Source organism: Homo sapiens, chromosome 1 (genome assembly GCF_000001405.40).
Source record: "Homo sapiens chromosome 1, GRCh38.p14 Primary Assembly".
Taxonomy (NCBI): Eukaryota; Metazoa; Chordata; class Mammalia; order Primates; family Hominidae; genus Homo; species Homo sapiens.
The window spans coordinates 194,915,058-194,936,137 of NC_000001.11; the positions used below are offsets into that span (position 1 = coordinate 194,915,058).

Genomic DNA, 21,080 nt, shown 5'->3' on the forward strand with positions numbered 1-21,080 from the left:
CCTAATTTCTAGATTAGCTTTTGCTGGCTAGAGACCACTCTCAGTTTCTTGTACCATGATATCTTAAATGTGACAACTTCCATCAAAGCTACAAGCTGAGAAGGCAGTAGAGGGTCATCTTGTAAGACAGAATTCACAAGCTTTTGTAGCCTAATCTTGGAAGTGACATATTACTTTTGCCATATTCTGTTGGTTCCAGTCCCAACTTAGGGGAAAGGACTACATCATTTCTCATTACCAGAAGGTGATGATCATTGTTGGCTGTCATAGACGTACACCTACCACGCACAGAAGAAACATAAGTCTAAATAATTCAAGTAGTTTGTGTGATTGAAATAAAGCATGCAATTGGAAAGGTGTGATGTGTTTGAATCTCAGAATATAGGATGGTAGCTAACCACATATTTGTAGTTCCAAGCTTACTTGATATTGAAGGTATATTTTTTCTTGAGAGTAGCATTTTACACAATTAAACATAATTTACTTGATTAATGTCCTTTCAGGCAAAGAGTCAGACACAGGAAAGACATAGTCTAAATTATAGTGTTTTAAATAATATAAGTGATTATACCTAACAGAATGCTGAACATGTATATGTTTATATCAGGTTCTATATTATTAATATCAATGTGGTAAATAAATAAACCACCCTTATAAATGTGTTTACATATCCAAGTTTCAATATGAGCAGTATAAATTACTATTTATACTTGCTTTATAAAAACATTAAAATAAGGTGGAATTTTTATATATAACATTATCAGTAATATATGATAAATCCATCCTAAATATAAAAGATGTGAATTTTAAATCAAAATAACAACTCAGTATATAAGTATATATTAAAGAAATGCCAGCTATGTGAATTCTGTAGCAATCACCAATATATTTTTAAGTGTGCTTATGATCAAAACTTTGCCAAATCATTTAGATCTACAGAAAATGTATCAAGGAGTTAACTAAGAATTAATTATATAATAAATATATCACATAAATATTTAAACGTTTTAACAACTTGATAAGCTAGATATGAATATTAGTCCCATAAAGATAATTAGGAAATACAAGCAGACAAATTCATTACCTTGAATGAATGACAAATAGCAGAGCCAAGTTTTCAAATCAAGTGGTCTGGTGTCAGAGTGTTTGCTCCTAACCCACATGCTGGATTTTCTTTTTCTTTTTTTCTTTTTGGATTTTTTTACAAAACACAATTTTTATGTATGAAATTTTCTTGTAAAAACAATTAACAACAACAAATATTTAAGTAAATTATTAAAATAAAAATTGCTTACAAAGGTATATAATTACAAACTTACCCACCTCTGGCAATTTCTAACTATCTTTCCGTATTTAAAAAAAGGGCACATATCACCCTCCATGAGCCTTAATCCGTGACTGAAATACACCAAACTCAAAACTCATTAAGTTCTAAAACTGCCTGTTGATTTTTTTGAAACTCAGTTTAATGCCTTCTTATTTATTAGTACTTGATGTTAAATGTATTCAGACTAGGCCTTTTATCCCTAACACTTTTAACTCACTCAGCTCACTTCCTTGGTAATTTCAAACAAATAAACCTCAGGCAATAACAGTCATTGTCTAAATTCCCTATCATTTTATTATTTTGTTTCTATGACAGGTAAAATTTTGGGATTATCCTAGAATATAAACAGTTTCTCTGTTTGATTTATCTCAATGTTTTTTTGCCTTCCATCCATCCCTGATACTTTTTCTCTTCATTCCTCTGCCTATCTTGTAAAAATCTCCCTAACTTAAAAATATGTCATACATTTGTACAGACACAGTTTATTTGAGTATATTTATTCAATCAATTATGTAAAGCACATTTTTACACATAAAATATAAAATATTAAACATCATAATACATATTTTAATGTATAGGCCTCATCAAAGTGAATAATATATTAACAACAACAAAATGACCCACTAGTGAAAGCAATCTTACTTCTTTTCCTCTTCACATAAAAATATTAAGTATACATTTTCATTGGAATTTAGAAGTTAGAAGGTACTTAGCAATTAATATACAAAATAATCTTAATCCTCTAATTGGGGATCAGAAAGAGCTTTATGAATTAGTACTTTGGGAAGTGCTATATTTTTAAGGAAATTGCCTTAGCCTTCGTGAAGCTGTATATATATATATTCCAACTGAATTTATTAAAGAGTTAGAATATTGATTAGGATTGTATGCACTGAATTTATAAATTTATTTAGAAAGAATAGTTAACTCTACCAATATTGAGGATCTAATATTGCCATTGCATAAGGGAATATGCCTCTTTATTCATGTAAGTATCTTCAATGTAAATTACAGTTTCGTCTTGTAATTGTGTTTACTTGTAGGCATTAAAATTTTTTGTTGCACTTACAGGTGTACTGTCTATACTATTTTCTGATTGCTTATGTCAGGAGCTTAGCTGAGCTGGGAGAGAAAGAGCTGAATTTTCAAGTGTTGGAATAGCTGACTAAAGCAACAAACCAAAAATTAAAGAGTTAATCACTTACTGTGATGGTATAAACAAGAGTCTAAAACCAGAGAGCACTGGCTCTCCCTGTTCCATTTTCCTCTATGGAAGGGCACACTGGTCGAAGGTCAAGTGGATAAGTTCTGACCTGGGGTCATGTCAGTGTTGAAGGAGCACAAATAAAAGGCTCCTGCAGTTTTGTGGACCCTGAAGTGGAGGGCTGGGGCCAATAAGTGGAAAGGACTAGGAGTTGAAAGGTACTGGGTACTGAGTCAGACAGTGGAAAAGTGTCTTCAATGTTTCCCCCTGCTCCCTGCATAAAGAGGCCTCAGATGTCTGAGGAATACCTCTTTCCAAGGCCTCAGATAAAGAGACTCCAGAATGAAGGCACAGTGACTAAGAATGTAAATGTGTGAAAAAGCATGACCGGCCATCCAGGGGGCCTGAGATCGTGACTCTGTACAGACTGTGACGCACGGGCTATACATCAAATCTGCCTCAGGGAGGGCAGCTTTCCCCTGTGAGTCTTGCCAGGTAAAGTCTCTCTAATTGCATAGGTAGGGTCAGGCCTGAAGAATCAACAGTAGAATTTTAAGCAGGAGTCAGTCTCCTCAGTTTAGTGCTGCTATATAGAAAAGTATAGATTTTAATATGGTGGTACAAAATCTACCTACTTTAAAAGACTATTTTTAGATTACATCAATATTGTATCTCAAATTTTCTACATAGCTAATTTTATCTCATACAAAACAATGTACAATGACTTGTGGATAAATAACTTGGATTAGTAACATGATTTAAGGACATCATATTTGACCGAGCTTTTCTGAAAAACAAAGTATTGGAAGAGCCCCATATTGATGCTTTCATACATTAACTTGTTAGAGAGGAGAAATACAGACTGATTAAAAGCACAGGATACGGAGCCAGATTCCCAAGGTATGACCTTAGCTCTGCAACTTAAGAGCTTCATGATTTGGAGAATGTTGATTTTTTGTTTCTGTTTCATCTTGAAAATGGGGATAACAACAATACCTACTTCATAAAAGTTTAAATATATCAATGTATTTATTGTGCCTAGGTTTTGTTTATTTGTTCCCCTTATTAATTCTACAAGATTTTTTTGGACTCCACAAGCCCAATTCTGAATAAACTAAAATCTAGTCCTTCTGAAATACTTCATGTTGCTACCAACTACCTTCAGGTCTCATATATTACATATGCTGAAACCTGCCTTTCTTGCTTCTATTGGAAAATAACTCATTCTAAATCTTTACTTATTTTTATCAGATCAAGATACTACCACTTACCATTTTCAGAGTGATATCAGCACATTCCTCCTGAATAACCATGTTGCAGTAGGCTTACTTATTTTATATACATTTTCATTGTGTTCATAGTTACTTACATTTGTGTTGTTTTTTAACTAGACTGTGAGCTTCTGGATGGCAAAGACTGTGTCTTTCAACCCTGTATACCTGGTTACAGCCACAGTACCTCATCTATGGCATGTAAATGTCAGAGAGAAGGAAAATGGAGATGATGCCTTTTCCATGTGCCTGGTTCTATATGTTCTCTACAAACATTTCTTTAATTCACATTTTAAAGCTAGGAGGCAGCATGTTTACTTCATCTTTCAAATGCGAAAAGTAACTTTTGAGAGAGTTAACTGCTTTACAAAAGATCACACATGCAACAGTAATTATAAAGCAGGGCATGGTTCCTAGACCTGTCTGCTTCTAAAGTTCATGCTCTTTTCACCACCCGCTGCCGGAGTGAAAGATGTGACTTAAGCTGCATTTAAAGAAGGATGCCTGGTGTCACTGTGCATGATGCAAGGACTAGTAAGAGTTGTAGTCCGTCTTAGAGGAAGAAACGGTTACCTAAAAGAAGGCCTTTAGGGAAAGGGTGGCAGTGAGAAGGTAAACTAGCAGTAAAACCAGGAGGCTAAAACCTGGTAATTATGATGCCATTGAAAGTAGGGGAACCAGTAAAGAGTGGGTTCACTAGTGAGGTCACTTCAGGAATTATTATATTCTTTACTTAAAACTAAGTCAGAGTTATTCTATTTATCTAACAGAGTCCAACAAGAGTGTACACACTCACTGACACCAGCTATATAAAAGGAGAATCAATCTTATTACCCTGATCATCAAAATATCAGGGTGAATAGGATTAAGAATACAAAGCCTTTCCATAGTTTTATTATACAATTACAAATTATAAATACTATAATGGTATATGCCTATCAGTTTATGTGATGGTTATTTTTATGTTAACATGACTGGGCCATAGAACACACAGTAATTTTTCAAATATTATTTTTCGTGTGTCAGTGAGGGTGTTTCTGGATACAATTAACATTTGAATCTGTGGATTGGATACAGCAAATTGCCCTCCCTGATGTAGTTGAGGCTCATCCAATCCACTGAAGGCATAAATCTAATAAAAGGCTGAGTAAAAAAAGAATTGTTTCTCGTTGCCTGATTGTCTTCAAACTGGGATATCCATTTTCTCCTACATTTGGACTCAAAGTAAAATGTTGACTCATCCTGAATGTCCAGCCTACTGGCCTTCAGACTGGAAATACACCATTGGCTTTCCTGGATCTCTAGCTTGTTAATTGCATATTTTATTACTTGTTAGCCTCCATAATCATGTGTCATAGAATAAATAATAATAAATATATAATAAATTTATTTTAGAATAAATTTATCTGTCCGTTGATAAAGACACAATTATGGATTTAGATATAAAACCTCTCTCTCTCTCTCTTATTTGTCTGTTTCTTTGGAGAACCTGGACATTGTTAACATATTGCATAAAGGCACACGAAAAATAAAACAATGAAGAATTGAAATGTAAGACATTTCTCATAGTCACTGTCATTAAAAGGCAAGGAGTGCTACCTGCATTTGATGGACGCCAATCCAGGATTCAATCTTTGCAACTTGGAGAAATGGTCACCTTTGGCTTATCTGAAAACACAATAACATGCGATTAAATTTTCATGCACTTCAAAGAATGTCATTATTGTTTTTTGTTTCACAAAACAAAAAAGCAGATCAGAATATCTACAGAATTCAAAAGATTACATACCAAAGTAATAGCAAAAATACCTCATTAAAACAATATTTTGATAAAGCTATTTGTAATCTTGATATGAGAATAAAGAAAGGGAATGCTATAGAATATTTATGTGCTATAGAATATGTGCACACACAAATATATATTTATAAATACACATATATTTGAGAATGTGATGGTTAATACTGGGTGTCAACTTGATTAGATTAAAGGATGCAAGGTACTAAACCTGGGTGTGTCTGTGTGGGTGTTGCCAAAATGATTAACATTTGAATCAGTGGTCTGGGGAAGGCAGATCCACCCTTAATCTGGTGGGCACAATCTAATCAGCTTCCAGCGAATATAAAGGAGGCAGAAAAATGTGAAAAGAAGACATGGGTCTAGCCTCTTGGTGTACATCTTTCTCCCATGCCGGGTACTTCCTGCCCTCAAACAACAGACTCCAAGTTCCTGAGTTCTCCTTGCTCCTCAGACTGGTTCTCCTTGCTCCTCAGCTTGCAGACAGCTTATTGTGGGACCTTGTGATTGTGTAAATTAATGATTAATAAACATATATATATATGTTTATTATATATATATCCTGTAAGTACTTTCCTTCTAGGAGAAACCTGACTAATACATATTTTGGTACCAGGAGTGGTTTTAAAGGAACAGAATATTAAGGGTGGAGTTCTTTCATTGCTTTTGGGGTTTCTGAAGTTGGCTGCTTAATATGATTAGACCCATAAATGCTAAGGACCCTACTTTTAATAGTACAGAGAACACTGATAGTCCTTGGCATGAACTGTTTTAGAGAGACGCAAAATAAATGTGTTTGACACTCCTGTTTCACCGCTCATGAGAGGCAAGGAGTTTAGTAACTCTATACATAATACCTTTGACCATATGTGGAGAACCAAGGAACATAATGAAGCTAGTTGGTTCGTCTTAAGTTCAGTGGACAAAAGTGATGAAAGAAAATGATGAACTCAGGGATTCTGTCTCCTGGCTTCAGAAGCAGATACTGAGCCCCAAATCTGCTAAGATTGCCCTGAGTGAGAGTCTTATCTCCTGTACAGAAAAAGCTGAAATTGTGGAAAAACAGACACAAGCTCGTATCATGCAAGTTGCTGACCTGCAATGAAAGATGCATGCACAGTCTCGCCAGGTGGCTACTGTTAAAGTGAGGGCATTTACTGGAAAGGAATGAGACCCTGCAATTTGGAATGGGGAAGTGTGGAAGGACCCCAGTAAAGCTGGGGACACTGAGTTTGTAAACTCTGATCAACCTTTTTTGCCAGAAGGAATAGCTTCCCCATCCCCAGTAGTGGCAACATCCCCTCCCTGACCCATGCTTCCATCAGCTTTTGTCTCAGGAGATAAACCCTGTGCTGCCTAAGGCAACAGTGATGGCCTCCCTTGAGGCAGTTGCCAGGCAAGATAATGTCAATTCTCCTCAGAAGCCACCCCCAACACCTCTGTTTGCTTCTAGACCTATAACCACACTAAAGTCTCGGCAGAACCCTAGAGGTGAGGTTCAGGGGGTGACCCATGAGGATGTGCACTAAACTCGAAAAGAACTATTTGAGTTCTCTAATTTATTATATAAACAGCAATCTGGAGAACAGGCATGAGAATGGATATTAAAGGCATGGGATAATGGTGGAAGGAACATAGAGTTAGAACAGGCTGAATTTATTGATTTGGGGCCACTAAGTAGGGATTCTGCATTTAATACTGCAGATCAGATAATTAAAAAAGGTTCTAATAGTTTATTTGCTTGATTAGCTGAAATATGGATTAAAAGATGGCCCCCTGTGAGTGAGCTGGAAATGCCTTATCTCCCTTGGTTTAATGTAGAGGAAGGGATCCAAAGGCTTAGGGAGATTGAGATGGTGGAGTGGATTAGTCACTTTAGCCTTACTCCTCCCAGCTAAGAGGGTCCAGAAGACATATCCTTGACAAATGCCTTGTGAAATAGACTTGTGAGGGCATCACCTGCATCTTTGAAGAGCACTGTAATTACTCCTCTTTATAGGTCAGATCTAACTGTGAGAACTGCCGTCACTCAACTACAAAATTTACATACGATGGATCCCGAGATGGCAGGGCCAAGTGGCAACACTCAACCCATCAAAGGCAAGGTGGGTGTAACTACCATATGAACAGCATAGGCAAAGTGGCGATCAGAATAGTCTGACTCACATAGAGCTCTGGCATTAGCTAATTAATCACGGTGTTCCTAGAACTGAAATTGGTAAGAAGCCTAATGCATTTCCATTAAATTTATATAAGGAGAAAACCTCTAGGTCAAATGGTCAGAAGACTAATTTGAGTTATAAAAATAGAGAATCACGTCCCCTCAATTGATTTCCAGACTTGAGCCAATTTACAGACCTAGAACCTCTTGAATGAAGGGGAGGCCAGCTCCCCTTGAGGAAAGACTCCACTACATTACTGACAATCTATGCAGTGAATCCTTCTCCCATCCTTCCCCAAGAAGACCTCCAGCCTTTTATCAGGGTAACTGTGCACTGGGGAAGGGGAAATGATCAGACATTTTGGGGACTACTGGACACTGGCTCTGAACTGACATTGATTCCAGGGGAACCAAAATGTCACTGTGGTCCTCCAGTTAAAGTTGGGGCTTATGGAGGTCAGGTAATCAATGGAGTTTTAGCTCATGTCCAACTTACAGCAGGTCCAGTGGGTCGGCAAACTCATCCTGTGATCATTTCCCCAGTGCCAGAATGCATAATTGGCATAGACATACTTAGCAGCTGGCAGAACCCCCACATTGGCTCACTGACTGTTACGGTGAGGGCTATTATGGTGGGAAAGGCCAAATGGAAGCCATTGACTTGGCAAATGCCTTTTTCTCCATTCCTGTCCATAAGGCCCACCAGAAGCAATTTGCCTTCAGCTGGCAAGGCCAGCAATATTCCTTCACTGTCCTACCTCAGGGATATATCAACTCTCTAGCTTACTGTCATAACATTATTCAGAGAGAACTTGACACCTTTTCACTTCAGAAAATATCACACTGGTCCATTACATCGATGAAATTATGCAGATTACATCCAATGAGCAAGAAGTAGCAAACACACTGGACTTACTGGTGAGACATGTGTGTGCAGGAGGATGGGAAATAAATACGATTAAGATTCAGGGAGCTTCTACCTCAGTAAAATTTCTAGGGATCCATTGGTGTGGGGCCTGTGGAAATACTCCTTCTAAGAAAGGGTAAGTTGCTGCATTTGGCCCCTCCTACAACCAAGAAAGAGGCACAATGCCTATTGGGCCTATTTGGATTTTGGAGGCAACACATTCCTCATTTGGGTGTGTTACTCCAGCCCATTTATAGGGTGACCTGAAAGGCTGCCAGTTTTGAGTGGGGTCCAGAACAGGAGAAGGCTCTGCAACAGGTCCAGGCTGCTGTGCAAGCTGCTCTGCTGCTTGGGCCACATGACCCAGCAGATCCAATAGTGGTTGAGGTGTCAGTGGCAGATAGGGATGCTGTTTGGAGCCTCTGGCAGGCCCCCATAGGTGAATCACAGTGGAGGCCTCTAGGATTTTGGAGCAAGGAACTGCCATCTTCTGCAGATAACTACTCTCCTTTTGAGAGACAGCTATTGGCCTGTTAATGGGCATTGGTGAAAACTGAACGTTTGACTATGGGTCATCAAGTCATCCTGTGACCTGAACTGTCTATCATGAACTGGGTGCATTCTGACCCACCTAGCCATAAAGTGGGTCATGCACAGCAGCATTCCATCATCAAATGGAAGTGCTATATACGTGATTGGGCTCGACCAAGTCCTGAAGGCTGAAGTTACATGAGGAAGTGGTTCAAAAGCCCATGGTCTCCACTCCTGCCACTCTGCCTTCTCTCCCTTTGCTTGCAACCAATGGCCTCACGGGGAGTTCCCTGTGATCAGTTGACAGAGGAAGAGAAGACTAGGGCCTGGTTCACAGGTGGCTCTGCACCATATGCAGGCACCAGCTGAAAGTGGACAGCTACAGCACTACAGCCCCTTTCTACGAAATCCCTGAAGGACAGCAGTGAAGGGAAATCTTCCCAGTGGGCAGAACTTTGAGCAGTGCACCTGGTTGTGCACTGTGCAGGGAAGGAGAATTGGCTGGATGTCTGATTACACACTGATTCATGGGTTGTAGCCAATGCTTTACCTGGATGCTCAGGGACTTGGAAGAAGCAAGACTGGAAAATTGGTTGACAAAAAAATTTGGAGAAGAGGTATGTGGATGGACCTCTCTGAGTGGTCAAAAACTGTGAAGATATTTGTATCCCACCCATGTGAGTGTTCAGCAACAGGTGACCTCAGTGAAGAAGTTTAATAATCAAGTGGATAGGATGACCTGTTTTGTAAACACAACTCAGCCTCTGTCCCTAGCCACACCTGTCATCACCCAATGAGCCCATGAACAAAGTGGCCATGGTGGCAGTGATGGAGGTTATGCATGGGCTCAGCAACATGGAATTCCACTCACCAAGGCTGACCTGGCTACATCCACTGCTGAGTGCCAAATTTCCCAGCAGCAGAGACCAACACTGAGCCCTTGATATGGCACCATTCCCTGGGGTGATCAGCCAGCTATCTGGTGGCAGGTTGATTATATTTCCGTCATGGAAAAGGCAGAGGTTTGCCCTCATTGGAATAGACACTTACTCTGAATGTGTGTTTGCCTATCCTGCACAAAATGCTCTTGCCAGGACTACCATATGTGGACTCAAGGAATGCCTTATCCACCATCATGGTATCCCACACAGCATTGCCTCTGACCAATGCACTCACTTTATGGATAAAGAAGTGTGGCAGTGGGCTCATGCTCATGGAATTCAGTGGACTTTCTATGTTCTCCATCATCCTGAAGCAGCTGGATTGATAGAACAGTGGAATGGCATTTTGGAGTCACAATTACAATGCCAACAAGGTGACAATACTTTGCAGGGCTGGGGAAAAGTTCTCCAGAGGGCTGTTTATGCTCTGAATCAGCATCCAATATATGGTAATGTTTCTCCCATAGCCAGGATTCATGGGTCCATGAATCAAGGGATGGAAGTAGAAGTGGCACCACTCACCATTACCCGTAGTAAATCACTAGCAAAATTTTTGCTTCTTGTTCCCATAACATTACATTCTGCTGGCTTAGAGGTCTTAGTTCCAGAGGGAAGAAACTTGCCACCAGGAGACATGACAACAATTTCATTAAACTGGAGGTTAAGACTGGTACCTGGACACTTTGGGCTCCTCCTACCTTTAGGTCAACAGGCTAAGAAGGGAGTTACAGTGTTGGCTGGGGTGACTGACCCAGACTATAAAGACGAAATCAGTCTACTACTGCACAATGGAAGTAAAGAAGAGTATGCAGCCAGGCGCAGTGGCTGACACCTGTAATCCCAGCACTTTAGGAGGCCGAGGATCACCTGAGGTCAGGAGTTTGAGACCAGCCTGGCCAACATGGTGAAACCGCGTCTCTACTAAAAATTACAAAAATTAACTGGGCATGGTGGTGAGCACCTGTAATCCCAGCTACTTAGGAGGCTGAGGCAGGAGAATCACTTGAACCTAGGAGGCGGAGGTTGCAGTGAGCCGAGAATGCGCCATTGCACTCCAGCCTGGGTGACAGAGTGAAAACTTTGTCTCAAAAAAAAAAAAAAAAAGAACAGTATGCATGGAATTCAGGAATTCAGGAATTCAGGAGATCCATTAGGGTGTCTCTTAGTATTTCCATGCCCTGTGATTAAGGTCAATGGGAAACTACAACAGTCCAATCTAGGGAGGACCGAGACCCTTCAGAAATGAAGGTTTTGGTCACCCCACCAGGAAAAAAATTGGGACCTGCTGAGGTGCTTGCTGAAGGCAAAGGGAATACAGAATGGGTAGTAGAAGAAGGTAGGCATCAATACTAGTTACAAACACATGACCAACTGCAGAAATCAGGACTGTAATTGTCATGAGTATGTCCTCCTTCTTTTGTTAAAAACACGTTTGTGCATGTATACACTTGTACTAATAAAATATCTTCATGTTATTCCCTTTTCCTTTATCATGTGACATAAGATTTATTGACTTCATATCAGCATGTAAGTATTGTTAACTTTACGTAATAAAGTTAAAGAAATGTTTCTAATCTGACTGTAATTTCACCTGATGTTTTATTTTCTGATTTTATTATTTCAATAGTTGAAGATGTAAACATATCAAAGTCTTAGAAAAAAACATTTTAACACTTTTATATCATTAAATGACTTGTGCAAATATTGGTGGTAATAGGACCCTTGAACCTATTACAGTGCTTAACAAATTTAAATTATAAAAATGTGTGTTCCATATAAGTATTTTTTAATAATTTTGTATTTGACATCCAAAGTAATATTATTTATCATAATATTTGGTGAAATTTGTTTCTTAATTTTTGTTGTAACATTTTCATTAAGATGTTCTGAAGTATTTTTTTAAATATTAATTCCTATTATAGTACATTTTAAACATATTGCTTGCTATTATTTGTTCTAATATGATAATTCTGGATCTATTTATACTGTGCTTATTTTAATAGTAGATTGAACAGTATTTTAGGTTTTTTTGAAGTTTTACTATCTCAATCAATCTTTACATACAGCGCTATGTTAACAACTATTTTTTTTACTTTATCTTTAAAGTTATCTGATAGATAAATTATGCAATACATAGGTATCCAAAGTTAAAGAGGTTTTGAGTTGCAAAGATAAAAATGCAAAATGAACTTTAGAAAACATTCTTAAGTACCTCTTTATCATGTTAAGTACATTTGTGGCAAACAATAGCTATAAAGAGAGAGATATTATATATACCTATCAAGCTATACTATAAATAATGGTCAATATCAGTGGAGTATGAGTATCAGATATACATATGTCTTGAATATCACAAGGACATATATTTAGCATGACATTTATTTCCCTTTCTAATTCTCTATATTATGAACTGGATGTCTATCATAAACTGGATGCTTTCTGACCCATCTAGCCATAAATTGGGTCATGCACAGCAGCATTCCATCATCAAATGGAAGTGCTATGTACGTGATTGGGCTCAAGCAGGCCTTGAAGGCACAAGTTACATGAGGAAGTGGTTCAAATGCCCCTGGTCTCCACTAAAATTCTAAAATTTTTCTAAAATTTTTATTCTAAATTTTTTTCCTAAAATTTTAATTTCTGAATATAATTTTAGGTTCTTGTTTTGATCACCAATTGCAATGTATTTAATCAGGCTTTAATAGGGGTAATAGGGGTGGAAGTGGAAGTGGCACCACTCACCATCACCCCTAGTGATCCACGAGCAGAAGTTTTGCTTCCTTTTCCCACAACATTACGTTCTGCTGGCCTAGATGTCTTAATTGCAGAGGGCAGAAACCTGCCACCAGGAGACACAATAAAATTGTCTATTTAGTTTTAAAAGATAATAAACTTTTAATTTTAAATAATATTCTTCCATTTGGGGTGTCAAAAAATTAGCATTCTAATTCACTTTTTTTGGTAAGAACTGTAATGTAGTATGTCTTACTAAAGAAAGTCTCTAGTTCTGAAAACTGTAATGTAGTCTATCTTATTAAAAAATGTCTCTGGTTCTAATTAAATGTCTAAATTAATGAAAGTCGCATGATGTGTCCTGTGATCCTCCTAAAAAAAATGGACCTTGCCATGAAATATAATTATTAATATATTTATATTTAATGAACTTATATAAATAATTAAACTTTCTTTCACAGAGTATAAAGTTAAAATTTGATAGAAATAAGAATTTAGTTTTTCAATAAATAAACATAAATATCTATATAAAAGGATACCATTTATATTATAAATATTGATAACACATATCATTGGATAATCAATAAAACTACACATTCAGGTATCAAAATATGAGAGTAACAGGAAATGAGGGCAAAATATGAAATAGAACAATGGTAATAGGCTAGAGATCTCCAAAATGTGTTTCATATGAAAAATGACAAAGGCTAAAGGACTTTCAGGAGCAGAATTATAGAGTGAAAGGGTTTTCTTGTTTCATAATAAGTCTGGGTAATGCTGCATGCTCTATAGTCTTCTTGGAGTTTAAAACACTTATAATCATATGAAAAAATATGGAAAAGCTCTGTCTTAATAAATCTTGTTTTTTAAAACTCATTTCATAAACATATTTAGTTTTATAACATTTGTTTATCATATCTTTGCAAATCTATTAATGTTTTCTGAATACTTTATTGTATAAAATACAACTTGGGAAATGTTATAATATTTGCATTTACAGCCTCGTACACTGCTGCTATATAAACTGAACACAGTAAACATTAAAAAAAATTTTTTCCACCAAATACAATTATGCCCAACATTATCTTTAAAGTAAAAAATATGTGTACTGGATGTATAATTGTAAACAGCCTTGTCACCTTTAAAAAGTTAACAAGATTATAAATCTAGCATAAAGTGAAATTTGATAATACTTATAACAATAATTACATAATAATGCAATAATATGCAATTTTTTTGGAAAAAATGTTTCAAGAACATGTATGAAAAGGCTATTAAAATGCTATGCGCATAAAAAGCTATGATTTATAATCATATATATCTGGAAATAGTTGTCTTTTGTTTGTTTGTTTATCTTGTTGAATGAAAGAATCAGTAGTATTAGGGAAACTTTTGTCCATAATCCATGAAGCTTATCTTTGTTGCTAAAACACATGAAGAAACAAACATGATATAAGGGGAAAGACTGGATTGTCTTGATATTATTGAGTTGACAGAGAGGCAAATATTGCATATGTCTGTAAGGAGTTTATGTAAATGAATGTAATAGAGAAAATCTAGGCAAGGGTTTGATTTATGAATATAAGCATATGACTTAAGCTTCCAAGCATGAAAACAGTACCCACACTTGATTTTATCAGCTGCAGTGGTAGTGAAATTACAAGTAACCTAAGGGATTATGTGTCTGTGTTGCCTCATGTCTCTTGCCTTTTGGTATTATTACATGGATGAAACTCCAGAGTAAGAGAAGTGACACTCATTTTCCAAGAGGCTTTTGTAAAGTGATTTTGGTTGTTAATTTGTGACAACCTGGTTCTGGAATGATCCTCCTGACATTTGCTGCCACCAAAGTGAATAATGCTGACCAAAACAGCAGGAAATTGTAAGAACATATTTAAATGGTTTATTTTCAGAGGTGAATCACTAAGAAGAAAAGGGGACTAATAATTAATTTTTAAAAATACTTTGTGATTAATCCTGAGAGTAAAAAGGAAAAAAGAAATTAGTTTTCTTTGTTGTGGGTACTTCTTAAAACCTTCCTTCTGAAAGCTATCTCAGTCACAGTTTTTAATTCTATTGTCTAATTTTCCAATCTACTTTTTTCTTATCTCCTCTGAACTCTTTGTGCCGAAGGGCGTTAATGGCCAGATTTTTTAGGATTTCCTATCATCCAGTATTTTGTTTTAGGTTTAAACTTTTCTCTAAAATTATATCTCATTTTCTGAATATTCAATACTGGCTACTGAGCAATATCTTTAACACAAATAATGAATGTTAACTAGAAATGTTTACTTTTCATACTGGCCTACGGTGAAGGTTAGCAAATTTCAAGAAAATCTTTTACTATACAACATGATTAATCTCTACTCAATTCCAAGTAGATGATGTAAAGCAATAGCTTTGAAGTTGTGCAACAGAATGAACCATAGAGCTTGTTACAGTCTTATTCCTAGCTCCCACCCTTAATAAATAAGGTAAATCAGGGTGGAGCCCAGGAGTTCAAGTTTATAACAAGTGACCTAGGTTACCCAGACAGAGGTGGTCACTGTGCCACAATTTTTGAAACACTGGTTTGAAAGGTGCAAGTTAGACTGCTTGCGTCCAGTGAGAAGTTGATGCATTATAAAATTTGCATTTTGAGTTTGAGTATGTCTAATTCTCTTTCATCTCAGTTTGCCACAGATGACAAGTGGTAAGTAATAATATGAAGTCCTCAAAGAAAAAGGAACACTGTAAACAGAGAAAGATAAAAAATAGTAACTTAACATTTATTCAAATCCTGGTATATCCTGAGATTCTTTACTGAGCTTAACAAAAAAGTAACTTAAAAATAATATAGGAATTAAGGAGAAGTGCTCTTAGTAAAAAATAATTTAACTCTGCAATCTGGGGTTAGTGTTGGAATTTTGTTGCATAGAGCACTTGATGAGCCATAAAGTAGAAAGAAATCATTCTTAAAGCAAACAGACTAGCTTGATATAGTAGCTGCCAGAAAACATTACGAGGAACTCTTGGTATATTTTGGTGCCCTGATGGAATGAAACTTAAAATTCAGGGAGTTCTTAAAGCAAAATAGACCTTCTAAATTTCTAAAGACAACTATGATCCTTCTCATCCACTTCACTCATTTCAGGTTCCCCACTCCCAAGTATCCTTTCAATAATGCCTACCACAACCCTCATATTAAAAACTGAAAACTTACCTCACATTTTTGTGATCCATCTTTCTTGCTGCATTTTGTTTTTGTTTTTCCTTATTACTTAACAAGCTCATTTACTTGTTCCATTTATGGATTGCTGCACAACAAATGACCTAAAATTCAGTGGTTAAGAAGGTAATACTCTTCTTTGTTAACACTCATGGGTTTTATAAATCATAAATTCAGGAAAAGCCATGTAGGTGGTTCTGGCTCAGGCTTTCTATTGTGCAATAGCTAGAGTTGGAGCATCTGGAGGTTGGTCAGGAATTTCTCTCTTTGGGAAGTCTTACAGCTTTGCCATGGTGCCTCTCAGCCAGGGCTGGTTTAATCTTTCCTACAGTATAGAGGACTTAGGGCTATCAGATTTCTTACATGACACTACAGGGCTTCAGGAAAGAAAACAGCTCCTTCACCTATTATCACCTATGCTTGGAAGACGTACAACATTACATGTTTCTGACTACAAAGGAGTTACAACTTTGCCCACATTCAAGCAGAGAGGTCCTGGGCCCCACTTCTTCACTGAAGGAATGTCAGATGACATTACACAATAGCACACGGGCACGGGAGACACTGGCGAGCTGTCTTCAGAAAATACAATCTGAAACATTCATTTATTATATTTATGTCTATACCACCGCAACATACAAACACGTGAGAATGTAAATTTTATGAGGGCAGAGCCATTTATGTGTTGTGCTTATCTGTTCATTTATGAAGTTATTAACTTGTATCTTCAAATCAGGCACCTTACTAAACTCATGAAATAATGTTTCAGTTATCATCAGTAGTGTTGCCACTTGGAATATCTTGTAGTACTTACTATATGGTAGACATTCTTAAATATGATGTATATATTCATGTGATATATAGATTTGTAATTTATTTTTCTTATCTCATTGTACTGTGGTATATACTATTAAAATAATGTTGAATAGCAGAGATGGCAACCATATTTTTTTGTAACATCAGTGATGTCCCTATAATCAACAGTATGCACTGTACAAGTTATACTTTTTTTTTTCTTTTTTTTTAAATGGAGCCTCGCTCTGTCGCCAGGCTGGAGTACAGTGGCGCGATCTCGGTTCACTGCAACCTGTGCCTCCCTGGTTCAAGCAATTCTCCTGACTCAGCCTCCTGAGTAGCTGGGACTACAGGTGCCCACCACCATGCCCGGCTAATTTTTGTATTTTTAGTAGAGACAGGGCTTCACCATGTTGGCCAGGATGGTCTCAATCTCTTGACCTCGTGACCTGCCTGCCTCGGTCTCCCAAAGTTCTGGGATTACAGGTTTGACCCGCCATGCCCTTCCCCATTGATACTATTTTATCCCCTCTTTTTAAATGGTCTGGTACAAATGAATCACTTTGAAATATTTTTACATTTATTTTATATTGATGAATTTATCACTTACTCATGTCGACTTTAAAATAGATATCTGTGAGCAGAGGAATAGGGTGCCCTGAGTTCTTCAAATTTGTATAAGTATATTTAAAGCTTTATACATTAAATATAATAATACATATTAACTGCTTATTAAGTTGCCTGTTACATAAGAAATAGATGATTTATAAAAACCATTGTTCTTTTTTCTTCCTGTATTATCTGCAATTTGTATTCAAAATGTGTCAACTGTTCTAGGAACTTAATATCAATGAACAAAGCAAACATGCCTGTACTTATATAGCCAAGAAATTAATACAATTTAAAAGTTTATTTGCATAGAATGTAAGTGCAACAATTTAAACTAGAATGCTATTTGATATTTTCAGAGATCCCACATTTTTATATAATATGCTAGTAAACAAAATTGTTTCATTTTAAAGATGTTTTCTTTATCTGTATATATTTTATTCTTGAAAATATAAAGATAATGGATGTTAAGGCTCTTAGCCCAAAAATAATAACTATGTGAGGTAAAGCTTTTGTGAATTAACTAGATTTAACCATTTCACAACTTATATGTACCTTAAAACATCATGATGTACATGATGGAAACATACAAGGTCATTTGTCAATTACAAAATAAACTACAACCATCTGCTCTTCAACAAGGTTGACAAGAACAAGCAATGGGGAGAAGACACTCTGTTCAATAAATGTTGCTGAAATAACTGACTAGCAGAAGAATGAAATTGGACCCTTGCCTTTCACCATATATGAAACTTAACTCAAAATGGATTAATGGTTTAAATATAAGACCTTAAACTATAAAAAATCCTTGAAGACAACCTAGGAAATACTCTTCTCAACATTTCTCCTTGCAAAGAATTTTGGCTAAGTCCCCAAAGTAAACTTCAATGAAAGCAAAAACAAACAAGTGGGACTTAATTAAACTGAAGAGCTTCTGCACAGCAAAAGAAACCTACAACAGAGTAAACACACAACCTACAGGATGGGAGAAGATATTAGCAAACTATGCATATGATAAAGACCTAATATTGAGAATATATAGAGAAGTTAAACAAATCAACAAGCAAAAACCAAATAAATCAATTTTTAAAATGGTCAAAGAATATGAACAGACACCTCTCAAAAGAAGACACACAAGTGGCCAACAAACATGAAAAAAATGAAACAATGCTCAGCATCATTCATAATAAGAGAAATGCAAATTAATACCACAGTAAGATATAATCTCACACCAGTCAGAATAGCTATTAAAAAGTTGAAAAACAACAGATACTACTGAGGCAGTGGAGAAAAGGGAAAGCTTATAAATTATTGGTGGGCATGTAAATTAGTCCAGCCACTGTGGAAGGCAGCCTAGAGATTTCTCAAAGAACTTAAAACAGAGCTGGGAATGTACTCAAAGAAAATAAATAATTCTGCCAAAAAGACACCTGCACTCATATGTTCAACGCTGTACTACTCACAATAGCAAACACATGGAATCAACCTAGGAGTCCATCTATGGTAGATTGGATAAAGAAAATGTGGTACATATGCACCACGAAATACTACACAGTCATTAAAAAAAGAATAAAATCATGTCATTTGCAGCAAAATGGATGGAGGTGGAGGCCATAATCCAAAGCGAATTAACACAGGAACAGAAAACCAAATACTGCATCTTCTCACTTGTAAGTGGGAGTTAAACATTGAGCACACATGGACAAAAATATGGGATGAGTAGACACTGTGAACTACTAAAGGATGGGGTATTGATTAAGAAACTACTTATAAGACACAATGCTCATTACCTGGGTGATGGGATCCATACTCCAACCTTGAGAATCACAGAATATTCCTATGTAAAAACATGCACATTTTTCCCCATATCTAAAGTAAAAGTTGAAATAAAAATAAATAAATAAATGTTTTATGTAAGATAAAAAATTAATTAATTAAAAAGTTATAAATGTGTTATAGGTGATGTAATAAATGTTACATAGTAAATTAAAATAAACTTTTACATTGTCATTTACATTATCTAGTATTATAGCACTTAAAATAATATTTTTCATAAAATATAGCTTTTTCCTTATAGGATGCTATATAAATTTTATTATTTTAATAGGAATAATATAAAAGATTATAGAAATAGTAATATGAAGAAATTGAAAACAAATGTTAGAGTATGATATGGTTTGGCTGTGTCCCTACCCAAATCTCGTCTTGAACTCCCACATGTTGTGGGAGGGACCTGGTGGGAGGTAATTGAATTATGGAGGCAGGTCTTTCCCGTGGTGTTCTCATGATAGTGAATAAGTCTCATGAGATCTGATGGTCCTATAAGGGGGTGTTTCCCTGCCCAAGCTCTCTTCTCTTATCTGCCACCATGTGAGACTTGCCTTCCACTTTCTGCCATGATTGTGAGTCCTCCACAGAGACGTTGAACTGTAAATCCATTAAACCTCTTTCTTTCATAAATTGCCCAGTCTCTGGTATATCTTTATCAGCAGCATGAAAATGGATGAATACAGTAAATTTTTACCAGTAGAGTGGGGTAGTGCTGAAAAGATACCTGAAAATGTGGAAACAGCATTGGAACTGGGTAACAGGCAATGGTTGGAACAGTTAGCATGGCTCAGAAGAAGATAATAAAATGTGGGAGAGTTTGGAAATTACTGGAGACCAGTTGAATGGCTTTGACAAAAATCCTGATAGTGATATGAACAATAAGGTTCGGGCAGAGATGGTCTCAGATGGAGATGAGGAACTAGTTGGGAACTGGAGCAAAGGTGACTCCTGTTATGTTTTGGCAAAGAGACTGGTGGCATTTTGCCACTGCCCTAAAGATTTGTGGAACTTTGAACTAGAGAGAGATGATTTAGGGTATCTGACAGAATAAATTTCTAAGCAAAAAAGCATTCATGATGTGACTTGGATGCTGTTAAACCATTCAGTTTTAAAAGGGAAACGGCATAAAAGTCTGGAAAAATTGCCGCCTGACAATGTGATAAAAAAGAAAATCCTATTTCTGAAGAAAAATTCAAGGTGACCACAGAAATCTGCATAAATAATGAGGAGCCGAATGGTAATCCCCAAGACTATGAAGACAATGTCTCCAGGACATGTCAGATGTCTTCAGGGCAGCCCCGCCCATCACAAGCTCAGAGGCCTAGGCGTAAAAAGTTGTTTCTTGGGCTGGGCTCAGGGTCCCTGTACTGTGCACAGCCTAGCTGTGTCCCAGCCACTCCAGCCATGGCTGAAAGCATCCAGCATAGAGCTTGGGCCATGGCTTCAGAGGGTGCAGTGCAATCCAAAAGCCTTGGCAGCTTCCATGTGGTGTTGAGCCTGCAAGTAAACCAAAGTCAAGAACTGTGGTTTGGAAACTTCTGTCTACATTTCAGAGGATGTATGGAAATGCCTGGATGTCCAGGAAGAATTTTGCTGCAGGGGTGGAACCCTCACGGAGAACATCTGCTAGGGCAGTGCAAAAGAGAAATGTGGGCTCAGAGCCCCCACAGAGAGTCCCTAGTGGGCGCCACCTACTGGAGCTGTGGAAAGAGGGCAGCTGCCCTCCAGACCCCAGAATGGTAGATACACTGACAAGTTGCACCATTTG

General features: G+C 36.9%; 1 annotated feature.

Annotated features, from left to right (window-relative positions):
- Nucleotides 14,409–14,609: a silencer, noted in NCBI's record as "peak621 fragment used in MPRA reporter construct". NCBI's record gives its function as "represses an SCP1 promoter by STARR-seq MPRAs in K562 erythroleukemia cells {active_cell/tissue: K562}" and the evidence as "EXISTENCE:reporter gene assay evidence [ECO:0000049][PMID:32103011]".